The sequence below is a fragment of the Homo sapiens genome, chromosome 14 (assembly GCF_000001405.40).
Source record: "Homo sapiens chromosome 14, GRCh38.p14 Primary Assembly".
NCBI lineage: Eukaryota > Metazoa > Chordata > Mammalia > Primates > Hominidae > Homo > Homo sapiens.
This window is the reverse complement of record NC_000014.9, coordinates 91,358,522-91,374,936: the sequence shown is the minus strand read 5'-3', so window position 1 is coordinate 91,374,936 and position 16,415 is coordinate 91,358,522. Positions and strand designations below refer to the sequence as shown.

At 50.9% G+C, this 16,415-nt stretch overlaps 1 protein-coding gene and 1 long non-coding RNA gene across 5 annotated transcripts in view, besides 9 other annotated features; one reads left to right on the top strand and one right to left on the bottom strand.

The window, feature by feature from the left end:
- CCDC88C (coiled-coil domain containing 88C) overlaps positions 1 to 16,415 on the top strand; it is a 146,498-nt gene that overhangs the window by 42,884 nt on the left and 87,199 nt on the right. For all 4 annotated transcript variants that reach the window (NR_189158.1, NR_189159.1, NM_001080414.4 and 1 more), the window contains exon 4: positions 15,226 to 15,295. Coding sequence is in view for 2 of the 4 variants with exons in the window: in NM_001080414.4 (NP_001073883.2) it covers positions 15,226 to 15,295 (70 nt within the window). In the remaining 2 variants the exon portion in view is untranslated. The remainder of the gene's footprint in view (positions 1 to 15,225; positions 15,296 to 16,415) is intronic.
- LOC107984673 (uncharacterized) lies at positions 686 to 5,398 on the bottom strand. The gene is made up of 2 exons (XR_001750858.2): positions 4,225 to 5,398; positions 686 to 2,301 (listed from the first exon to the last, which is right to left on the bottom strand). It is a non-coding gene; the product is annotated as an uncharacterized LOC107984673 (long non-coding RNA).
- Positions 899 to 968: an enhancer, noted in NCBI's record as "active region_8911". NCBI's record gives its function as "activates an Ori minimal core promoter by ATAC-STARR-seq in GM12878 lymphoblastoid cells {active_cell/tissue: GM12878}" and the evidence as "EXISTENCE:reporter gene assay evidence [ECO:0000049][PMID:35858748]".
- Positions 2,572 to 3,184: an enhancer, noted in NCBI's record as "H3K4me1 hESC enhancer chr14:91838097-91838709 (GRCh37/hg19 assembly coordinates)". NCBI's record gives its function as "activates a minimal SCP1, AML or CMV promoter by ChIP-STARR-seq in naive and primed H9 embryonic stem cells {active_cell/tissue: H9 hESC(naive and primed)}" and the evidence as "EXISTENCE:reporter gene assay evidence [ECO:0000049][PMID:30033119]".
- Positions 7,382 to 7,461: an enhancer, noted in NCBI's record as "active region_8910". NCBI's record gives its function as "activates an Ori minimal core promoter by ATAC-STARR-seq in GM12878 lymphoblastoid cells {active_cell/tissue: GM12878}" and the evidence as "EXISTENCE:reporter gene assay evidence [ECO:0000049][PMID:35858748]".
- Positions 9,199 to 9,288: an enhancer, noted in NCBI's record as "active region_8909". NCBI's record gives its function as "activates an Ori minimal core promoter by ATAC-STARR-seq in GM12878 lymphoblastoid cells {active_cell/tissue: GM12878}" and the evidence as "EXISTENCE:reporter gene assay evidence [ECO:0000049][PMID:35858748]".
- Positions 9,648 to 9,897: an enhancer, noted in NCBI's record as "active region_8908". NCBI's record gives its function as "activates an Ori minimal core promoter by ATAC-STARR-seq in GM12878 lymphoblastoid cells {active_cell/tissue: GM12878}" and the evidence as "EXISTENCE:reporter gene assay evidence [ECO:0000049][PMID:35858748]".
- Positions 10,388 to 10,437: a silencer, noted in NCBI's record as "silent region_6024". NCBI's record gives its function as "represses an Ori minimal core promoter by ATAC-STARR-seq in GM12878 lymphoblastoid cells {active_cell/tissue: GM12878}" and the evidence as "EXISTENCE:reporter gene assay evidence [ECO:0000049][PMID:35858748]".
- Positions 10,558 to 10,777: an enhancer, noted in NCBI's record as "active region_8907". NCBI's record gives its function as "activates an Ori minimal core promoter by ATAC-STARR-seq in GM12878 lymphoblastoid cells {active_cell/tissue: GM12878}" and the evidence as "EXISTENCE:reporter gene assay evidence [ECO:0000049][PMID:35858748]".
- Positions 13,811 to 14,310: an enhancer, noted in NCBI's record as "H3K27ac hESC enhancer chr14:91826971-91827470 (GRCh37/hg19 assembly coordinates)". NCBI's record gives its function as "activates a minimal SCP1, AML or CMV promoter by ChIP-STARR-seq in naive H9 embryonic stem cells {active_cell/tissue: H9 hESC(naive)}" and the evidence as "EXISTENCE:reporter gene assay evidence [ECO:0000049][PMID:30033119]".
- Positions 14,311 to 14,812: an enhancer, noted in NCBI's record as "H3K27ac hESC enhancer chr14:91826469-91826970 (GRCh37/hg19 assembly coordinates)". NCBI's record gives its function as "activates a minimal SCP1, AML or CMV promoter by ChIP-STARR-seq in naive H9 embryonic stem cells {active_cell/tissue: H9 hESC(naive)}" and the evidence as "EXISTENCE:reporter gene assay evidence [ECO:0000049][PMID:30033119]".

The window sequence follows — 16,415 nt, the reverse complement described above, 5'->3', positions numbered from 1 at the left end:
TTCCTGGCTCTGACAGGCACCATTGACCGATCTTGGCCCTCTTTGTCTCTGAGCCCAGATCTGGCCTCAGAATCCTTCTCAACACAGAACTCTAGGTAACCACTACCAGTCATCTGTGCCTGGAACCCAAGCTTAAACTACCCCTGGGATCACAGTGAGTTACTTGTGTGAGACTTCCTTGTGCCTCCTGAGGCTTCGGAATGAGCCTGACTGCAGAGACCACTGCAGATGCTGCCAGACTGTTGGAATGGCCTCAAAGGTCGGTTGGGCCACCCCAGGCTCTGTGCTCAGCAGGACTGCACGGCCTGTTCTGGCTGTAACCCCTTGCCCCTGGCTGTTCCCTCTGCCTGGGATTCTCCAGTTCCACCCGTCCACCTGGCTCACACCCTCCCTACACTCGCATTTTGTTCAGCTGACGATTCATCGAGGGCCCTCTTTGACCACCTGTCTGTAAGAGCTATGTTTTCTGTCACTTCCTCCTATGTTCCTTTATTTTGCTTCTTAACACACACATGTGACATATATTTACCTCTTTAGCCCTCTCATTTACTCCAATATTCCAAGCAATGAAAAATACCTATTGATCAAATGGACCTTGCATTAGCAGATACCTGGTGGACTTAACCCTGCTACTGCCTGCAAGAGTTAGGATGAGAGGTAATAGACACAGTGTGTCTAGCCAAGCTCCTGGTTTATGCAGCATGCTGATTTATTGCTGTTCGAAATAAAGTGTTCTTTACACTGTAGATGGGGGAGGGTGCGTTTAGTTGGAGGTCCCAAAAAGCCTCTGTTCTCACCAGAGCCTTCCTCCCCGCAGCCAGTTCCATTTAGCCAGCAGCTGGCAGGCATCTGCTGTGGGCCACACTGTGCAGAGCCCTGGGGGGATTCAGAGGTGAGCATGTTCCAGCATCTGCCCTGGGGACCCTGAGGATCTCAGTTCCCTGTGTGGGACTCAGGCAGGGACACGAGAGAGGGGCCTGGGGGCACTGATTGCTGAGGAAGTGATCATTGCCGGCGGAGGGGTTTGAGGAAGGCATTGGAGGCAAGTGTGGCTGGACAGAGAGGATTTTGTCAGGTGCGGGTGGGCAGGGGACCGGCTGGGCTGCCAGGTCACCTCCAACCCCTGCCCACCCCCCAACTTGGACAGCTGCTGCAAAGTTGATAACATCTTTTGAGATTTTCACTTCCTGCCGAGATATTAGTCATTAGAAACTTGTCACTTCTGAACCTTCCTCCTCCCCGGCTTTTCAACTGTGTCCCGATATGCCCTCCCCCAGTTTCCTGCTATAGAATACATTCTTGGTGATAGAATAGAGAGTTTCTTGCTCTCTAGATGAAGTCTGATCTTTTGCTGCAAACTCCTGTAATGAAAAGAGACCAGTTTGCATGAAATGTCTGCTCTGCTGTCTGTTTCCTCCAGAAAGCTTTTTTGGAGGAGCGAGTGGGGGCTAAGGAGGGGTAATTACAGTCTTATTTATCCATGCTGGAGACTCATGGTTCCCATGTGTGTAGAATTTTTCCTTCTCTTCATCCTTTGCTATTTGACCAGCACAAGTTCTGCTTGGCCCCAGGCAGATGTCACTGATGAACCGTGGCACACTTGCTCCCAGGGCCAGACCTGCCCCTAGTGTTCTCAGCATAGCGTCCAAGCCAGCTCTCTTGAGTCCAGACCACCATAGGGCACTGGTATCGTGTGTGTTTTTCTTGGCCCTCCTGAGGCCAGAGGGAGAAGAGAGAAGGTGGCCCCAGCAGATGTCCCAGCTCAGTTCTTCCTCCTTGGTCCTGAGCCCAGGGGCTGGGGACGGTTTGTGCATTCCTGGGGATCTCTAGAATGGACCCCACTCCTCGCACACACAGGTAGCTGGGACTGTCTTCCTTTATGGGCTCACTGTGGTGACTGTGGCTTCCTGTGTTTGCCCCCTGCAGAGCTGCCCTGTGTTGAAGCAGGAGGGAGGATGGTGTGTCGCCCCGGAGCATGTTGAGAGCACAGTGCCCAGCAAAACCTGACGGCTAGGAAAGGCCTCAGGTTCAGCCAGCACCTCCGGGGGCCTGACTTCATGCCAGGCACAGGCTTGATTGTCGCTAGGTTAAGTGATGCCTGCCTGCCCGGCCACCTGCCTTTCTGGCCACCTGGCAGGGCTTGATGCCGAGGCCCAGCAGCAACGTGGTGGTGGAGCCGGCAGAGGGGACTCCAAAGCTGCTGCTGTCACCGTTTAGATAACGTGCAGACAGGGCTGGGTCCAGACTCCCTGAACGGTGGTTCTGTGCACATCTGGTTCTCAGTTGTCCTTCATCGTGGGACTGTAGCCAGAGACACAAGATGGGGGCACCTTCTGTGTCTTCCTTTTCCTTTATTCCTAGCCCTCCCTGCACTAACACACGCCTCCCCCCCCCGCCCGCCCCCCCCCGCACCACTGCCATCTACCTGGATGTCACCTGCTCCTTGTTCTTTCCCATTTCAGCTTCCGGCCACCTCCTTCTTGGAGCTTTTCTGGATTCCCCGCTCTCCTCTGCTCCCAGTGCCCCCAGCTCAGGTGCCTGCCATCCCTCTGTTAGGGTGCCAGACTTGCTGGTGGGATTTGCTGGTGGGATCAGGCTGTGAGCTCCCCAGGACAGGGCCTGGCCCTATAGCAAACACCCTGGGCCCCTCACTGTCCCCCATCCCACAGGCTTTGTCCTCCTTGTCTTTGTTTCCTGGCTTTGAGGGTAGCAGTCTTGGCTTCATACCCTCCACCTCCCAACTGGCATGCCATCAGACACCCAGCAGGTGCCCGGGAAGTGTGGCATAAATGAGAGAGGGAATGGCTGCCCTTCCTCAAGGAGCTCTCCCTGCCCTCCAGATGCCTGCCCTGGGACACTGGACAAGGAGGCCTGGTCACTCGGGAGTGCTGGTACCCCTTGTGCTGTGGTGCTCGTACCCTGAGGCCTGGGCTCAGGTTGGGGCGTGAGGTTGGGGGCTGGCTGCCCCCACTGCCTGCCTTTCCCACCCTCACAGGTCCCAGCAGGCTGGGGTGGTCTGGGCTGCCATCTACCGCTGGAGGCTCCTAGGTGCCCTCCACCATCCTGCTCCGACTTGTGCCTGGGAGTGAAGCGGCATTGTCAGGCCACCGGGTGAGGGCTGCCAGGGTGTGGCGTGGCCCCAGCCCTGCCCTGGCATAGGTGCCTGTGGGCCTGGGTGGGTGAGCGGTGGAGTGGGACATGGGACACTGTGTGGGCAGGCGCCACGTTCCCCCAGCCCAGCTACTTGCTGGGACGAGGAAGGCCTTGCTTCTGCTGAGCTAGGGAGGGTGTGCCCAGGACAGATAGGTGCCTGCCCAGGAAATCAGCTAGAGCCACCCCTGACTGGAGGGTGTGGGAGGCAGTCTTGGTCCCAGTCTGTGACTCCACAGGCTCCTCGGGACCAAGACTGTGGTCTTGGTCTGTGCTGTACTCCTGCCACCGCCGGCCTCTGTACTCCTGCCACCGGCGGGTGAGGTTGGCTGGGCCTGGACAGCACATGGCTCCTCCCATGGGACCACTACACTCATTCTGGCTGGGGGGGTCATGCCTGTCCCAGCCCACCCTGCATGCATACCGTAGTTTCCTCTGGCCACACTTTCTCTGCCCCTTTCTTGCTTATCCATCAGCAGAACTACTGACTTTTCCATCCATCAGCAAAAATACTGACTTTGCCAAGAAGCTTAAAAAAAAAAAGTACTCTACCACCATGAAGTCACAGTCATACGATCCCTCACGGCCATAAAATCAGGGCCCTTATATCAACTCCAAGCACTGGAGCACCGATGCTGTCGTTTTAGCCAGGAGGGGTGGACTTAGGGACAGAGGAAAGGGCAGCCCAGAACTGCTGCAGGTGCTGTCCTGTGGGGAAAGGGTCCTGCTCTCTCCATCCTTAGCCTAATCCTTGAAGTCCTTCTGCCTCACCCCAAACACACACCTCAGGGCATGGCATGCACTCAGCAGACACCGCTGAGTGGATACAAGCTTCTTGGTATGGCATAAGGAGCCCTAGGGCGGAGTGCAAGGAGACCTGGGTTTCCAGACCTGAATGTGGGGCTACGCCTCTGTCATTTTTTGCTCCGGACCTCAGTTTCCTGACTCTATGGATAATCTTGATGGCTCTTTTGGTTTTAAAATGCAGATTCTCAGCATCCCTCTGCTGTTGGGGTCTGTATGCACGGATGTGTCCACCTACTGACCCGCCTTCCCCTCCCCCACCATCCGCACCTGTGGTTGCCGAGGCATCACTGCAGCAGGTCGTTCCTAAAGCCCGATGCAGAGACCCGGCTTGCATTCCTCTTGTAAAATGGTTCCTGAACTACTGTTTATGGGCAGAGGTTCTCTTCCAAGGAGTCGAATGCCGTGTCCTGCCCGTGTTTCTGGGGCTGCCCCCCGCCCCCTTCTTTGGCTCAGGGGCTCAGAACAGGCCCTTCCTGGCATCAGATAAGACAGGTCTGCCCACAGAGCAATCCAGGGCATCACCCAGCCCTAAAGGGAAGGTGGCAGGAGCTCCTGGGGTTACTTGAAACATCCTCTGGTTCCCTCCCTGCCGGGTTCCCTGAGTTCTTCTGGACGCGTGGGCACTTGCCTGCTGGTGAGAGCTGGCAGCCGAGTTAACGCCATAAAGATGTGCTGTGCCTCTCTTGCCAGCAGCGTCTCTTTTTCCAGCCCCTCCCTTCCCCCTTCTGAAGGAGACTGAAGTCCTTTAGAGACTGTGGAGTCCTGATCCTGGTACAGATGAGGGTGTGGCTCAGAGAGGGACTGTGACTTGCCTGAGGCCACACAGTAGGTTACAGGCAGAGGCAGGAGTTAGCGGCTCTGCCCTCATGCTGCGGTGTTTGAGTTTCCAGGTGCTCCTTCCCAGCGGTTCTCCTCCTCCTGGGTCAGCTCAAAGGAAATATTTGTTTTCCTTTCTGTGAACAAAGAACCGACTTATGTTTGTTTCTGTGAATGCAGCCACAAGGACAGGCAGTTAGGAAGTGTTCCGTGGGAGGGGGTTTTCTGATGACGTGGTAGCCTCGGCCGGGCCGAGTTGGTCCCTGGGTACGGAGACACGGGTGGCCTTGTTAGGGGAGCCGGCGCTCCTGGGCTTGTGCAGATTGCAGTTGGTTTCAGGCCCTAGGGATCCCAGGATTAATCGAAATGAGGTGGAACAGATGGATTGAATCTATCAGCAGCTTTACATGACAGCCTCGTAACATAAAAGCACTTCATTGCCACTCGTTTTGCCAGGACTCCCCGCCCCGAAGAGGGACTGGGTGGAGAGGAGAGCCTCTTGTGCAGATGGAGTTACAAGCATGTGGGCCTGGGCTTTGTGCAGGCAGCAAGGACAAACCACTGCTTGGGTTTTCCTCTCAGTGGCTATGTTAGAAAATGTGCTATGTTCCAGAGGTAAAAAAAAGAAAAATAATAATGAATAAAAAATAAGAAAATTGGCCGGGCATGGTGGGTCACACCTGTGATCCCAGCACTTTGGGAGGCCGAGGTGGGTGGATCACCTGAGGTCAGGAGTTCAAGACCAGCCTGGCCAACATGATGAAACCCCATCTTTACAAAAATACGAAAATTAGCCGGACATGACGGCAGGCGCCTGTAATCCCAGCTACTTCGGAAGCTGAGGCGGGAGAATTGCTTGAACCCAGGATGTGGAGGTTGCAGTGAGCCGAGATCACGCCATTGCACTCCAGCCTGGCGGGTGTGATTGGCTGGGGTTGGGCCACAGGCTGTGTCGTGAGTCGTTATTGAAGGTTTGGGGCGGGCCTGTGCTGTAGAAAGTGCTCTGGCTTTGGGCATGAGGTGATGAAGATGGTGTCTATGAGGGAAGCTCTCCAGGCCTGAGGTTCCAACCCCGGTCTTGCTCCAGGCCCTGCTGGCAAACGATCAGCGACATTGTGCTGCGGCTGTTCCCTCCCACTGGAAATGCTCATAATTCTTGTCCTGGCCACCTCGCATGAATGTCAGGGAGGAAGGAGGAGAAAGGAGATGGAACCTCTTCACTGTCTGGTGTTTCTGGTAACGGGGCCTGAGGTTGGCTGGTTGCCAGTGCCAGGTCGTCAGGTGGTTTTTGTTTTGGCCATCAAGTTGTTGAGGTGCATTCAGGGGCTGCTTCTGGCCAAATCCAGGAAGAGGTTGTGAGATGTGTCCTGTGGAGAGTTAATCAGTGGCATGAGCGTAGACGTTCCAACACCTGCAAAGGAGATCTGTGGAATATCCCTCCTGACTACAGGGTTCTCTTGGGGGCCCTCAAAAAGCATCCCACCTGCCTGAAGCACAGCCAGCACCGTGCCGTTTCTGGAAGTGTTAAATCGATGCAGGGTTTCGACACCCCTCCTAGAGCACTGGACTAGACATTGGGAACACTGGAATACGTGTGGGGCCTTTCCTGTCTGAAGTCACTTCTGTAGTTTAGGAATTTAAAATTAATTTACTTTTGCTTAGTTTGCTCATAAAACTATTGCATTTGGGATTTTACAGTTGGAAAGCATGGTATATTCAAGCCAGCATTACCAGTTCACTTTGGAATGTTTTTAAAAATCTATATTCAATCTTCTACTTACACAAGTTCTAATGGAAAATTCTAAAACAAATTCGAAGCTTTTTTTCCCTCTGAAATGTTTTTAACTTTTGTTAACAGCTACAGGCTGTGAATCTTAAGGAATATGGTGTCAGATTTTCCAGGTTTCAAGGCACAGGAATTAGCAGAGAAACCACCCTCATTGCAGTGATAGAGCAGAACAGTAGGTTTTCAGATCTTGGTTCCCTTGTCAACATGGAAGAGACAGAGAAGACACCTCCTCCACAAAAGAGGTTTTTAAAAACTGTGTACTCAATATATATTTTGAGGAATATTTTCTGATTTAATTTTCCCAACTGTCACTATTAGCAGCTTTTTGCCACTTCGGAGTGGGGAGTTGATTGACATGGCACAGTGTAGAAAGTGCCGCAGAAGGGGGCTGAGGAAGCATTAGGAGTTCAGGGGAGAAAAAAATCATCCGGCATCAGGTGGCTGCCTAGAGGAGGGGGCGTTTTAGCTGAGCTTTGGAGGGCGAGTAGGGTCTGGCAGGTGGTAATCTGGTGGTAATGGGGCTGTGGGAGGAAGGGCACCCTCGTGGGAAGCGCAGAGAGTGTTGGTAGTTCAGTTTGATGCTCAGGGTAACCGAAGGGTTGACTTGCTGCCCACACTTAGCAGTTAATACATTTCCTGGCTCTGTCCCTCACGTGTCAGACTCCTAAGCATTCTCTACAGCCCAGCTCAGAAGCTGTCTCCTCTGGGAAGCCTTCCCAGACTTGTCTGGGCAGTTTGGCAGTACTCCCTGTGCTGTGCTGCCACTGTCTACCTCCCTCCCAGACAGGCCGAGAGTTCTCTGCTCGCTGCAAGGTGTACACAGTACGTGTCTTCTGAATATCTGAACCCCAGAGCAGACCTAAAGGTGTAGAAAATGCCCCGGCTTTGGGCACCAGGGAAGACGGTGTCTAGAGGTGTGCTGGGTGCACCTGCGAAGCCGACGTCACTCATGCTTCTGCTATTTCAGTCTTGACTGTTAGCGTGTGTGGGTCAACAGCGGCATTCTTTGTGGTTTTGCTTTGGCTGTGTGGAAGGCTCTCTTTGCTGTTTGGACCATCTTGGTCTCCTTGGCAACCGTGAGCGTCACCTTCATCCTGAATGCCTGTGCTGGGCGTTCATCTTAACTTTTCTGGGATTTCCCTCTCATTTATTCTGCATTAGCAGCTCCCATTCATAGCCACATGAGGGGCATCCTGTGGGCCTAAACGCTTGGCTTTCGGCAGCGTTTATTCTTCCTTCCTGGTAAAATATCAAGCTGCGAGATTCAGTTTCACTTAGAAGGAGAAAAATAATTCTTCCCATTTCTTCGTGAAATCATTGTTCTTGGTCCAACTGTCCTAGTGTTTTCAGTGGATACTGAAGCTAACCTCTGCCACATGCACAGAACGGTGTTTCCACCTGCATCTTTCCCAGGACTGTAATGTTTCTCCCACCTGCGGAGAAAATGACCTTTTTGTTGGAGCAGGCACAGTGGTTGAGATGGCCCTGGCAGGTTGTTAAGTCTTTTCAGGAGGCCCTTACTTTGCCTCAGGTGTTGAGTGGGCCTTTTCTGGGACCTCTGAGGCTCTGTCTTCACAGGGCTTATACCCTGAGAGTCAGCCTTTCGCCCAGGACCCCGTCCCCCTTCACTGGTTACAGACCCCTTGGGTGCTCCTGGCTCCCATCTGTTCTTCCCAATCAAGAGGCTTGGCTTCTCCTGATGAGAAGATGCTTGAAGGTGCAGCTTGCTTTTTGTGGCTATTATTTAAAATGGCAATCTACTTCATTCCTCATCTTGGATAGTTGGTGAATTGTCTCAGAGGAAAGAGTGGCTATAGATATATGGATATAGATACAGATACATGGTTTTTTGTTTGTTTGTTTCTTGTTTTTTTTTATTTTTATATTTTTTTAGACCGTCTTGCTCTGTTGCCGAGGCTGGAGGGCAGTGGCGCAATCTCGGCTCACTGCAATCTCTGCGTCCCGGGTTCAAGCAATTCTCCTGCCTCAGCCTCCCAAGTAGCTGGGATTACAGGCACATGCCACTGTGCCTGGCTAGTTTTTGTATTTTTAGTAGAGATGGGGCTTTGCCATGTTGGCCAGGCTGGTCTTGAACTCCTGACCTCAGGTGACCCGCTCGCCTTGGCCTCCCAAAGTGCTGGGATTACAGGCGTGAACCACCATGCCCAGCCCTGTGTGTGTGTGTGTGTGTGTGTGTGTGTGTGTGTGTGTGTGTGTGTGTATTTTTTAAGTAGGTCTGTCATGTTCACAGCTGAAATACCTAGTTAAATAGATGCCTCTGACTATATGGTCTCTGTGAGAACCTTTACAGAATATTTAGAAAATGCTGGGGAAACTTGCTCTTGCCCTAATCACTCTAATAAAGAAAATTCTGTCATTTTAGTGTAATATATTTCCTTTGAGGTTTTGTTTTCTTTTTTCAACATCCATTTCCTACTGTACATACAATTATGTATCTTTTTACACCTTTGAGCACTCTTTGCTGCCTTCCTAAATGGGATGAGTGGCCATAGCGTCCTGAACCGTTCCCCAGCGTTAATTTGCAGCAAGACTGTTAGAGTGCTGTTCTCTAATCTCACACCTCTTTCATGCTTCCTTTTGTAGTTTTGGGGAGGATTTGGGCCTTTAATAGTCTGTGGTTGACAGATTGCATAGTAGATGGTTGACTCAGAGTTGGGGTCTACATACTTGTTCTCAGAGCGGGGCTAAGGATGTCATTTAAGGTACTTGAGCTGAGTACCTTGTTGCCAAACCAAGGGTGGAGGTCCCAAAAGAAAGCACAGGCTCAGTTCAGGGTCTCCAAGACATTGAGCCCGTGGCGAACGTGGTTGAGTGGATGCACCATTTCTAAGTCCCAGATAGAGACTGGCTGAAAAGGAATGAGGCGGCCTGTCCCCCTAACAGTTTAATGGCCTCAACTGGACAAAACAGAAAATGAGCTTCATCTACAAGCCCCAGGAGCCATACAGGGTCATGTGGGGCGTGAGGGGCCACCGTAGGTGGAGAAGGGAGGCGCTCAGACCCCTTTCCTTGGGTCCTTCCCAGCCTAGTCCCTTCCCGTCCTGGTCCCTACCTGCTTCATGGGCTCCAGACACCTGCCTGCCACTCATTCTGTCCTGCCTCTCATTCTGTCCTGCCTCTCAGGAGGGCAGAAGCCCCAGCAAGGTGAAACCTGCCTGGGAGGGGTGAGGGGTGAGGGGTGAGGGAGTTGGAGGAGAGGAGGAGAGCACTTAGGCTGGAGGGGACCGTAGGGTGCCTGTGGCCTCCTGGAGCCAGCAGTGACAAGTGCTTAGCGTCACAGCATTGGCCTGGACGCTGGTCTTGTTTGCAGTGGCCCCACCACCCAGCATGGGCGTCACTCCCTAACCAGGCGCCGCTACGATCTGATGTCGTCCTCCCCTGTCAGAGCTTCATTGCCTATGAAGCCTGGAGTGGGACACCTGTATCCTGTGTTTTGGGGATGGTCCCGATTTCTCAACAAGTACATTGATGTTTGTCCCCAGCAGGTTCTAATAGAATCAGCTTTCTCTTTGGTTCTGTTCTTAGAACTCTACGCCTGTGACCTTGGAAAGCCACCGCTACAGGCCTTGAGATGCAGCATGCTCTGGGCCACCTTCAGTTTGCTTCCTGTGATCTGGGTTGGGAGCTGGGAATGGAGGCTTGTTGACACCGTGTGCAGACACAACTGCTGCCCCTGCCACCTTCCTGCCGGGGTGACAAATGCTTCCTGAGGGGGTCCTGGCCCACCCCAACCCTCCCCCTTGGGGTGACTGATAAGAGCCTAGATTTTAGATTTGAGGCCAGGGTGTTGTCAGGTGGGTGGGCCCTCTCCCCTTGTGAGATTACAAAGCGCTTTTCAGCCTTGCTCTCCCCCAACCCCTAGGGACACCAGTGGCCCCTGCAGTATCCAAAACACAAATGCACCTGCCTCTGACCCTTTGTTCATTGACTTCTTTTGGTTTGTTTAAAGCATTTAATTGGCCGAGGAGTCATTCCAGGATGCAGTTGAAAAGCAAGTCATTTATGAAAAGCAAAATCTTATTTTAGGATCCGAAAGCAAACCTAAAGGAGAAGTGGGGAGGAGTGCAATCTACCCTGGATTGCAATGCCACACCCCTACCATGTGCTCTGCGGAAGGGGGTTCCCTTGGAGGGCCATGTGCCAAGCCTGACCCTCTTCTTCCCTGTCCATCAGACCACAAGGACCGGTGACAAGACAGAGGCCTCAGCGAGGCTGGTGTGTGTCCCTTGTCCCTCAAGCTTGCCTTGGCACTTGTTTCTGCCATTGCAAAGACTAGAGTGGCACAAGGAGGGCTCACTGGCAAATGTGGGGGCCTGTCCAGAGCACCACTGGGCTTGCACTCTCCAGCCTGGTGTGGTCCTGCCTCACAGGTGGCTGGCTGGGGTGTGACCAGGTGCCCTGGCAGGACAGCATCAGCTGCAGCCTCCAAGTGAGTGGCTTTCTGTTCTGATGCCACGTGGGAGGGTCCCCTCGTCAGCAGCCTCCTCACGTCCCTGCCAGACTGAGGGCCAGCCCAGAGGCCCCTCACCCCACCACATTCCCCGCGGGGGAGGGCAAAGGCCTGGTGTTGGGGCCCAGTAGCCACCAGTCGCATGTGGCCTTCAGGGCCTGGAGATACCGCAGTGTGACTGTGGAAATGAATTTTTTATTTTAGTTCATTTAAATTTAAAAACTGGTACTCAGTTCAGTTGTAGGAAAACTTTTAAATGTGTTTGGAACAACCTGGGAATACAAGTCTATTTTTTCTTTCTTAAAAATTTTTTTTTATTATTTTTTCTTAATCTCGCATATTATACCTCCAACAAATGAACTTTTTCAACTCTAGATTTTGTGAAATCTGGAAACAGTCAAGTATTTCCAGTGAAAATTTAGCATCTGAATTGGGATGTGCTGTAAGTGTAACATACACACTGATTTCAAAGTGTATGGAAAAAGAATGCAAAGGCCGGGCAAGGTGACTCACACCTGTGATCCTAGCACTTTGGAAGGCCGAGGTGGGGGTATTGCCTGAGTCCAGGAGTTCAAGACTAGCCTGGGCAACATGGTGAAACCCCCTCTCTCCAAAAAAAAAAAGTAAAATAATACATTTTTATGTCAATTATGGGTTGAAATGATTATATTTTGGTTATATTGGCTTAATTAAAGTTGAATATTTTCACCTGTTTCTTTTTACTTTTTTAAAGATGGCTAATAGAAAATTTGAAATTAATGTGTCTCAATTATGTATATTGCTGGACAGCCCTGGCATCTGAGCCAGTTTTTGCTGGAAATGTGATTGATGGTTCTTTAAGGGGACCAGTTAATGGCTCGAGAGTAGCTTTGGCCATAGGATTACATCTTAGGAGAACCATGGTGTTTTGAAAGGAACAACTCAGAAAGATATTGTCTGTTCCTAAAACATGATTTCTTTTTTTTTTTTTTTCCTGAGATGGAGTCTCGCTCTGTCACCCAGGCTTGAGTGCAGTGGCCCAATCTCGGCTCACTGTAACCTCCGCCTCCCGGGTTCATGCCATTCTCCTGCCTCAGCCTCCTGAGTAGCTGGGACTACAGGCACCCGCCACCACGCCCAGCTTATTTTTTGTATATTTAGTAGAGATCGGGTTTCACCATGTTAGCCAGGATGGTCTCGATCTCCTGACTTCATGATCCACCTGCCTCAGCCTCCCAAAGTGCTGGGATTACAGGCGTGAGCCACCGCGCCCGGCAAAACGTTATTTCTTAATTGCACAAATGACACATGTTTCTTGTGGGAAAACTAGAAAGTACTGATTAGACAAAATTAAACATCCTGTTTTGGAAGGAGAACACATACATTTTCTAGCAATATTTCTAGCAGTGTTTTGCTTAGATTAACATTCACATAAAAATAACAATTTGCATTTTTTGCAGTGACCTTCAGATTATTTCAAAAAACAAAACAACAAAACAGGATGATTTCACATATTGCATCTCGCTTATAAACACGTTCACCCTGATACAGGGCTGAGCTTGGACAAATGGCAGAAGAAAGCTAGCCAAGAGTTGGAAAGGGGATTGTGGCTGGTTTGCTGGTGATGACCTTTGTTTTTTGGGTTGACTGGAACACTGGAACGTAGTCTTTTTTTTCTTTTTTTTTTTTTTGAGACAGAATCTTGCTCTGTTGCCCAGGCTGGAGTGCAGTGGTGCGATCTCGGCTCCCTGCGACCTTTGCCTCCTGGGTTCAAGCAATTCTCCTGCCTCAGCCTCCCAAATAGCTGACGTTACAGGCATGCGTCACCAGGCCTGGCTAATTTTTGTATTTTTAGTAGAGACAGGATTTCACCATGTTGGCCAGGCTGGTCTTGAACCCCTGACCTCAGGTGATCCGCCCACCTTGGCCTCCCAGAGTGCTAGGATTGCAGGCGTGAGCCTCTGCACCCAGCCTGGAGTGTAGTTTTGAGGCTGGGAGGGAGCTGTGTGACGGACAGGCTCATGTCATTGGGCACTCTCCTTTCACTGAGTAAATTAGCTGGAAAGCAGATTTCACTGATTTTACTGGTGTATTTTGCCGGGGGTGGTAGGGCGAGGGTGTTGGAACCCTTTGGCAAACTCATGCATTTAAGAGACAATTTTTTCACATTGACTTTTCCCAAGCCCTAAAGGAGGGCTGAGGCTGTTAAACAACTCACACTATTGTCCAACACGTACAGATATTTACCAGCTGAGACATGTTTGAGAAAGCATTAGCCGTTGCTGACACGGTGACATGTGACCCTGGATAATGGAGAAATGTGATTTCCAGCACTGAGTGGAGGGGGGTTGGTGTGTTCAGGAGTAGAGTACACCTCACGGTTTAACATCCCCTCCTGCAGTGTGGATAGGAGCCATAGAAAGACAATAAGGAGGGACGAGAAGACCATCTTCTATGTTCTCTGCAGGTGCTGGCCTCTCCTGGCATGCGGCCTCGGCCCCCGTTCTAATCTGACTCAGAGATGGTCTGAGATACGCACTCGGGCCATGTGGGTTGTGTAATTATCCCCCTCTTCTTCTCGAGTGCTAGTTAGCAGCACACTGGATATAGAGATTCCGCATGTTATGCAATAGAGCGACTTACGAAACTAGTTGTGTCTTAACAGAAACACATTTTTAAAGGCCTAACAGGAGCTTTCTTGGTGAAGAATTTCTATAGTGGCCACTTGTAGAATAGTTATGAAACCCACCCTCTTTTTTGTCTTCCGTAAAATTGGATTTTTTTTTTTTTTTTTTATAGACAGGGTTTTACTCGTCACCCAGGCTGGAGTGCACTCGTGCAACATAGCTCACTGCAGCCTGGAACTCCTGGGCTCAAGCAATCCTCCCGAGTAGCTGGGACCACAAGGCCTCAGTGCCACACCTAGCTGATTCTTAATTTTTGTAGATCCGAGTTTTTTCTGTGTTGCCCAGGCTTGTCTTGAACTCCAGGCTCAAGCCTCCCACCTCAGCCTCTCAAAGTGCTGGGATTACAAGCGTGTCCACCGTGCCCCACCAGAACTGGAATTTTAAAATCTCCTTATTTGTGAACAACGTCCTGCATCTAGGCACAGAAGACTGATCTGCCCCAAGAAATACTTAGGGGGATGTAAGTGGTAGACTGGGCTGTGAGCCGGCACGCTGAGGAGAGCCTGTACCCAGACGAGCGGGCATGACTGATAGCTGATGCCTGGGCCTTCTCTCCAAGCCCACGGGTGTGAGGGCGGGAAGGCAGCTCATCGCCTGTGCCCCACCTCGGGCTGGGCAGAGCAGCTCTGATGTATCCCTCGCTTAGGAAGCCCATGCTATAAATGAGAGAAGTCTCCTCATTTATAACTTGTACCAAAGACCTGCTTAGTGCTGGATCCTGAACCATCAGATTAGAAAGGCTCAGTAGCATCTCTTTAATCTTTATTTCTTCTTCTTCTTATTTTCTTTTTTGGAGACAGGATCTCCATCTGTTCCCCAGGCTGGAGTGCAGTGGTGTGATAACTCACTGTATCTTCGACCACCCAGGTTCAAGCGATTGTTCCACCTCAGCCTCCCAAGTAGCAGGGATCCCAGGCACATACCACTATACCTGGCTAATTTAAGAGTGTGTGTGTGTGTGTGTGTGTGTGTGTGTGTGTGTGTGAAGATGGGGTCTTGCTATGTTGCCCAGGCTTGGTCTCGAAATCCTGGCCTCAAGCTATCCTCTTGCCTCAGCCACCCAAAGCGTTGAGACTACAGGCATTAACCACTGCGCCTGGCCTCCTTATTTTTTAATTGCACAAGCCATACAATAAAAATAAGGGTATCTTTTAAAAAAGAAACATCATACTGCTGTCCTAGCATGTCATCTATTGCCTTTTTTTCCAAGACCTCTCTACCTATGCAGACATAACTTTAGCTTTCATTTTATTTTTTAAATATGCTTTTTCTTTTTTCATAACCCCATTAAATCTCTTGTAGGCATACTTTTTATTTGCTAACAATCAAGACAGAAATACAGTTAGGCTTTGGCTTTCGTGTTTGTTTGCATCTTACGTGCTCCTTGCTGTCATTTTAGCTCCTTCGTAGTCACCACGGGATGGCTGTGCACCCGTCCGGGGGCTTCATTACTTGTAATTTACTTAATCCCTCTTTATTTTTGTTTCCGGTTCTTAATGGTATCTTTTCCCCCTTTGTTTCTGCAGGAAGTTCTCCAGCAGCTGATTGTAATGAATTTGCCCAATGTTTTGATGATTGGCAGAGACCCACTGTCTGGTGAGTGAAAGCCGCTCCCTTCTCCCCTGTGGTGCCCAGCCAGAGGCATGGCGTTGGGCAGCTGCTGGCCATCGAGCTCCGGCTGCCAGCTTGGGCCAGCACAGTGAAAACACGTGATCGTTTTGGTGAGATTTTAAAGAGTGGGTTCATTACCCTGAGGCATTCAGCCAAGGGCACATTTCTTCCTTAAGAATGAAGCCTCCCAGGCCGGGCGCGGTGGCTCACGCCTGTAATCCCAGCACTTTGGGAGGCCCAGGCGGCCGGATCATGAAGTCAGGAGATCGAGACCATCCTGGCTAACAAGGTGAAACCCCATCTCTACTAAAAATACAAAGAATTAGTTGGGCATGGTAGTCCCAGCTACTCGGGAGGCTGAGGCAGGAGAATGGCCCGGAGCTTGCAGTGAGCTGAGATTGTGCCACTGCACTCCAGCCTGGGCACAGAGCAAGACTGTGTCTCAAAAAAAAAAAAAAAAAAAAAAGAATGAAGCCTCCCAACCGCTCAGATGTGTGTGCAGAGGCCAGTGAGGCCACCGCCTTGTTCCTCCTGGGAAGATGAGTTTGGGTTTAGGTGCCTGAGTCATACCATCTGGTGGACTCACCTCCTCAGTAAGTGTGGAATCAGCTGACACCATCAGGGAGTGTGGTACCTTAGACAAGAGAGTAAGAATCTCTTTAGAGAACTGACATCTGTCACTGGGGTCCTGCGAGGTTCATGCTCGGTGACGGAGCTCATTGATCTGTCTTATGTCTCCCTGTTGGACTCAGCTCTCCTGGCAGGCACGCGTTCTAGGTCCCCGCAGTCTCTGACGCTCAGTGTGAGTTTGAAAGACTCAATGAGGCCGAGCGCAGTGGCTCACTCCTATAACCCCAAAACTTTGGGAGGCCGAGGCAGGAGGATCGCTTGAGCCCAAGAGTTTAAGACCAGCCTGGGCAACATAGTGAGATCTCATCTCTAATTATAAAATGAAAAAAAGAAAGACCAAATTAAATGTCCTCCTGGCATCTTACAGAAAGTCAGAACTTAATCTCTGCCTGTCAGATAACTTCCTTGGTGCATTAAATGGAGTAATGCCTTGCGTCCCTTTCACCTGTGTGTGTTTACCTGCACCCATAGCTGG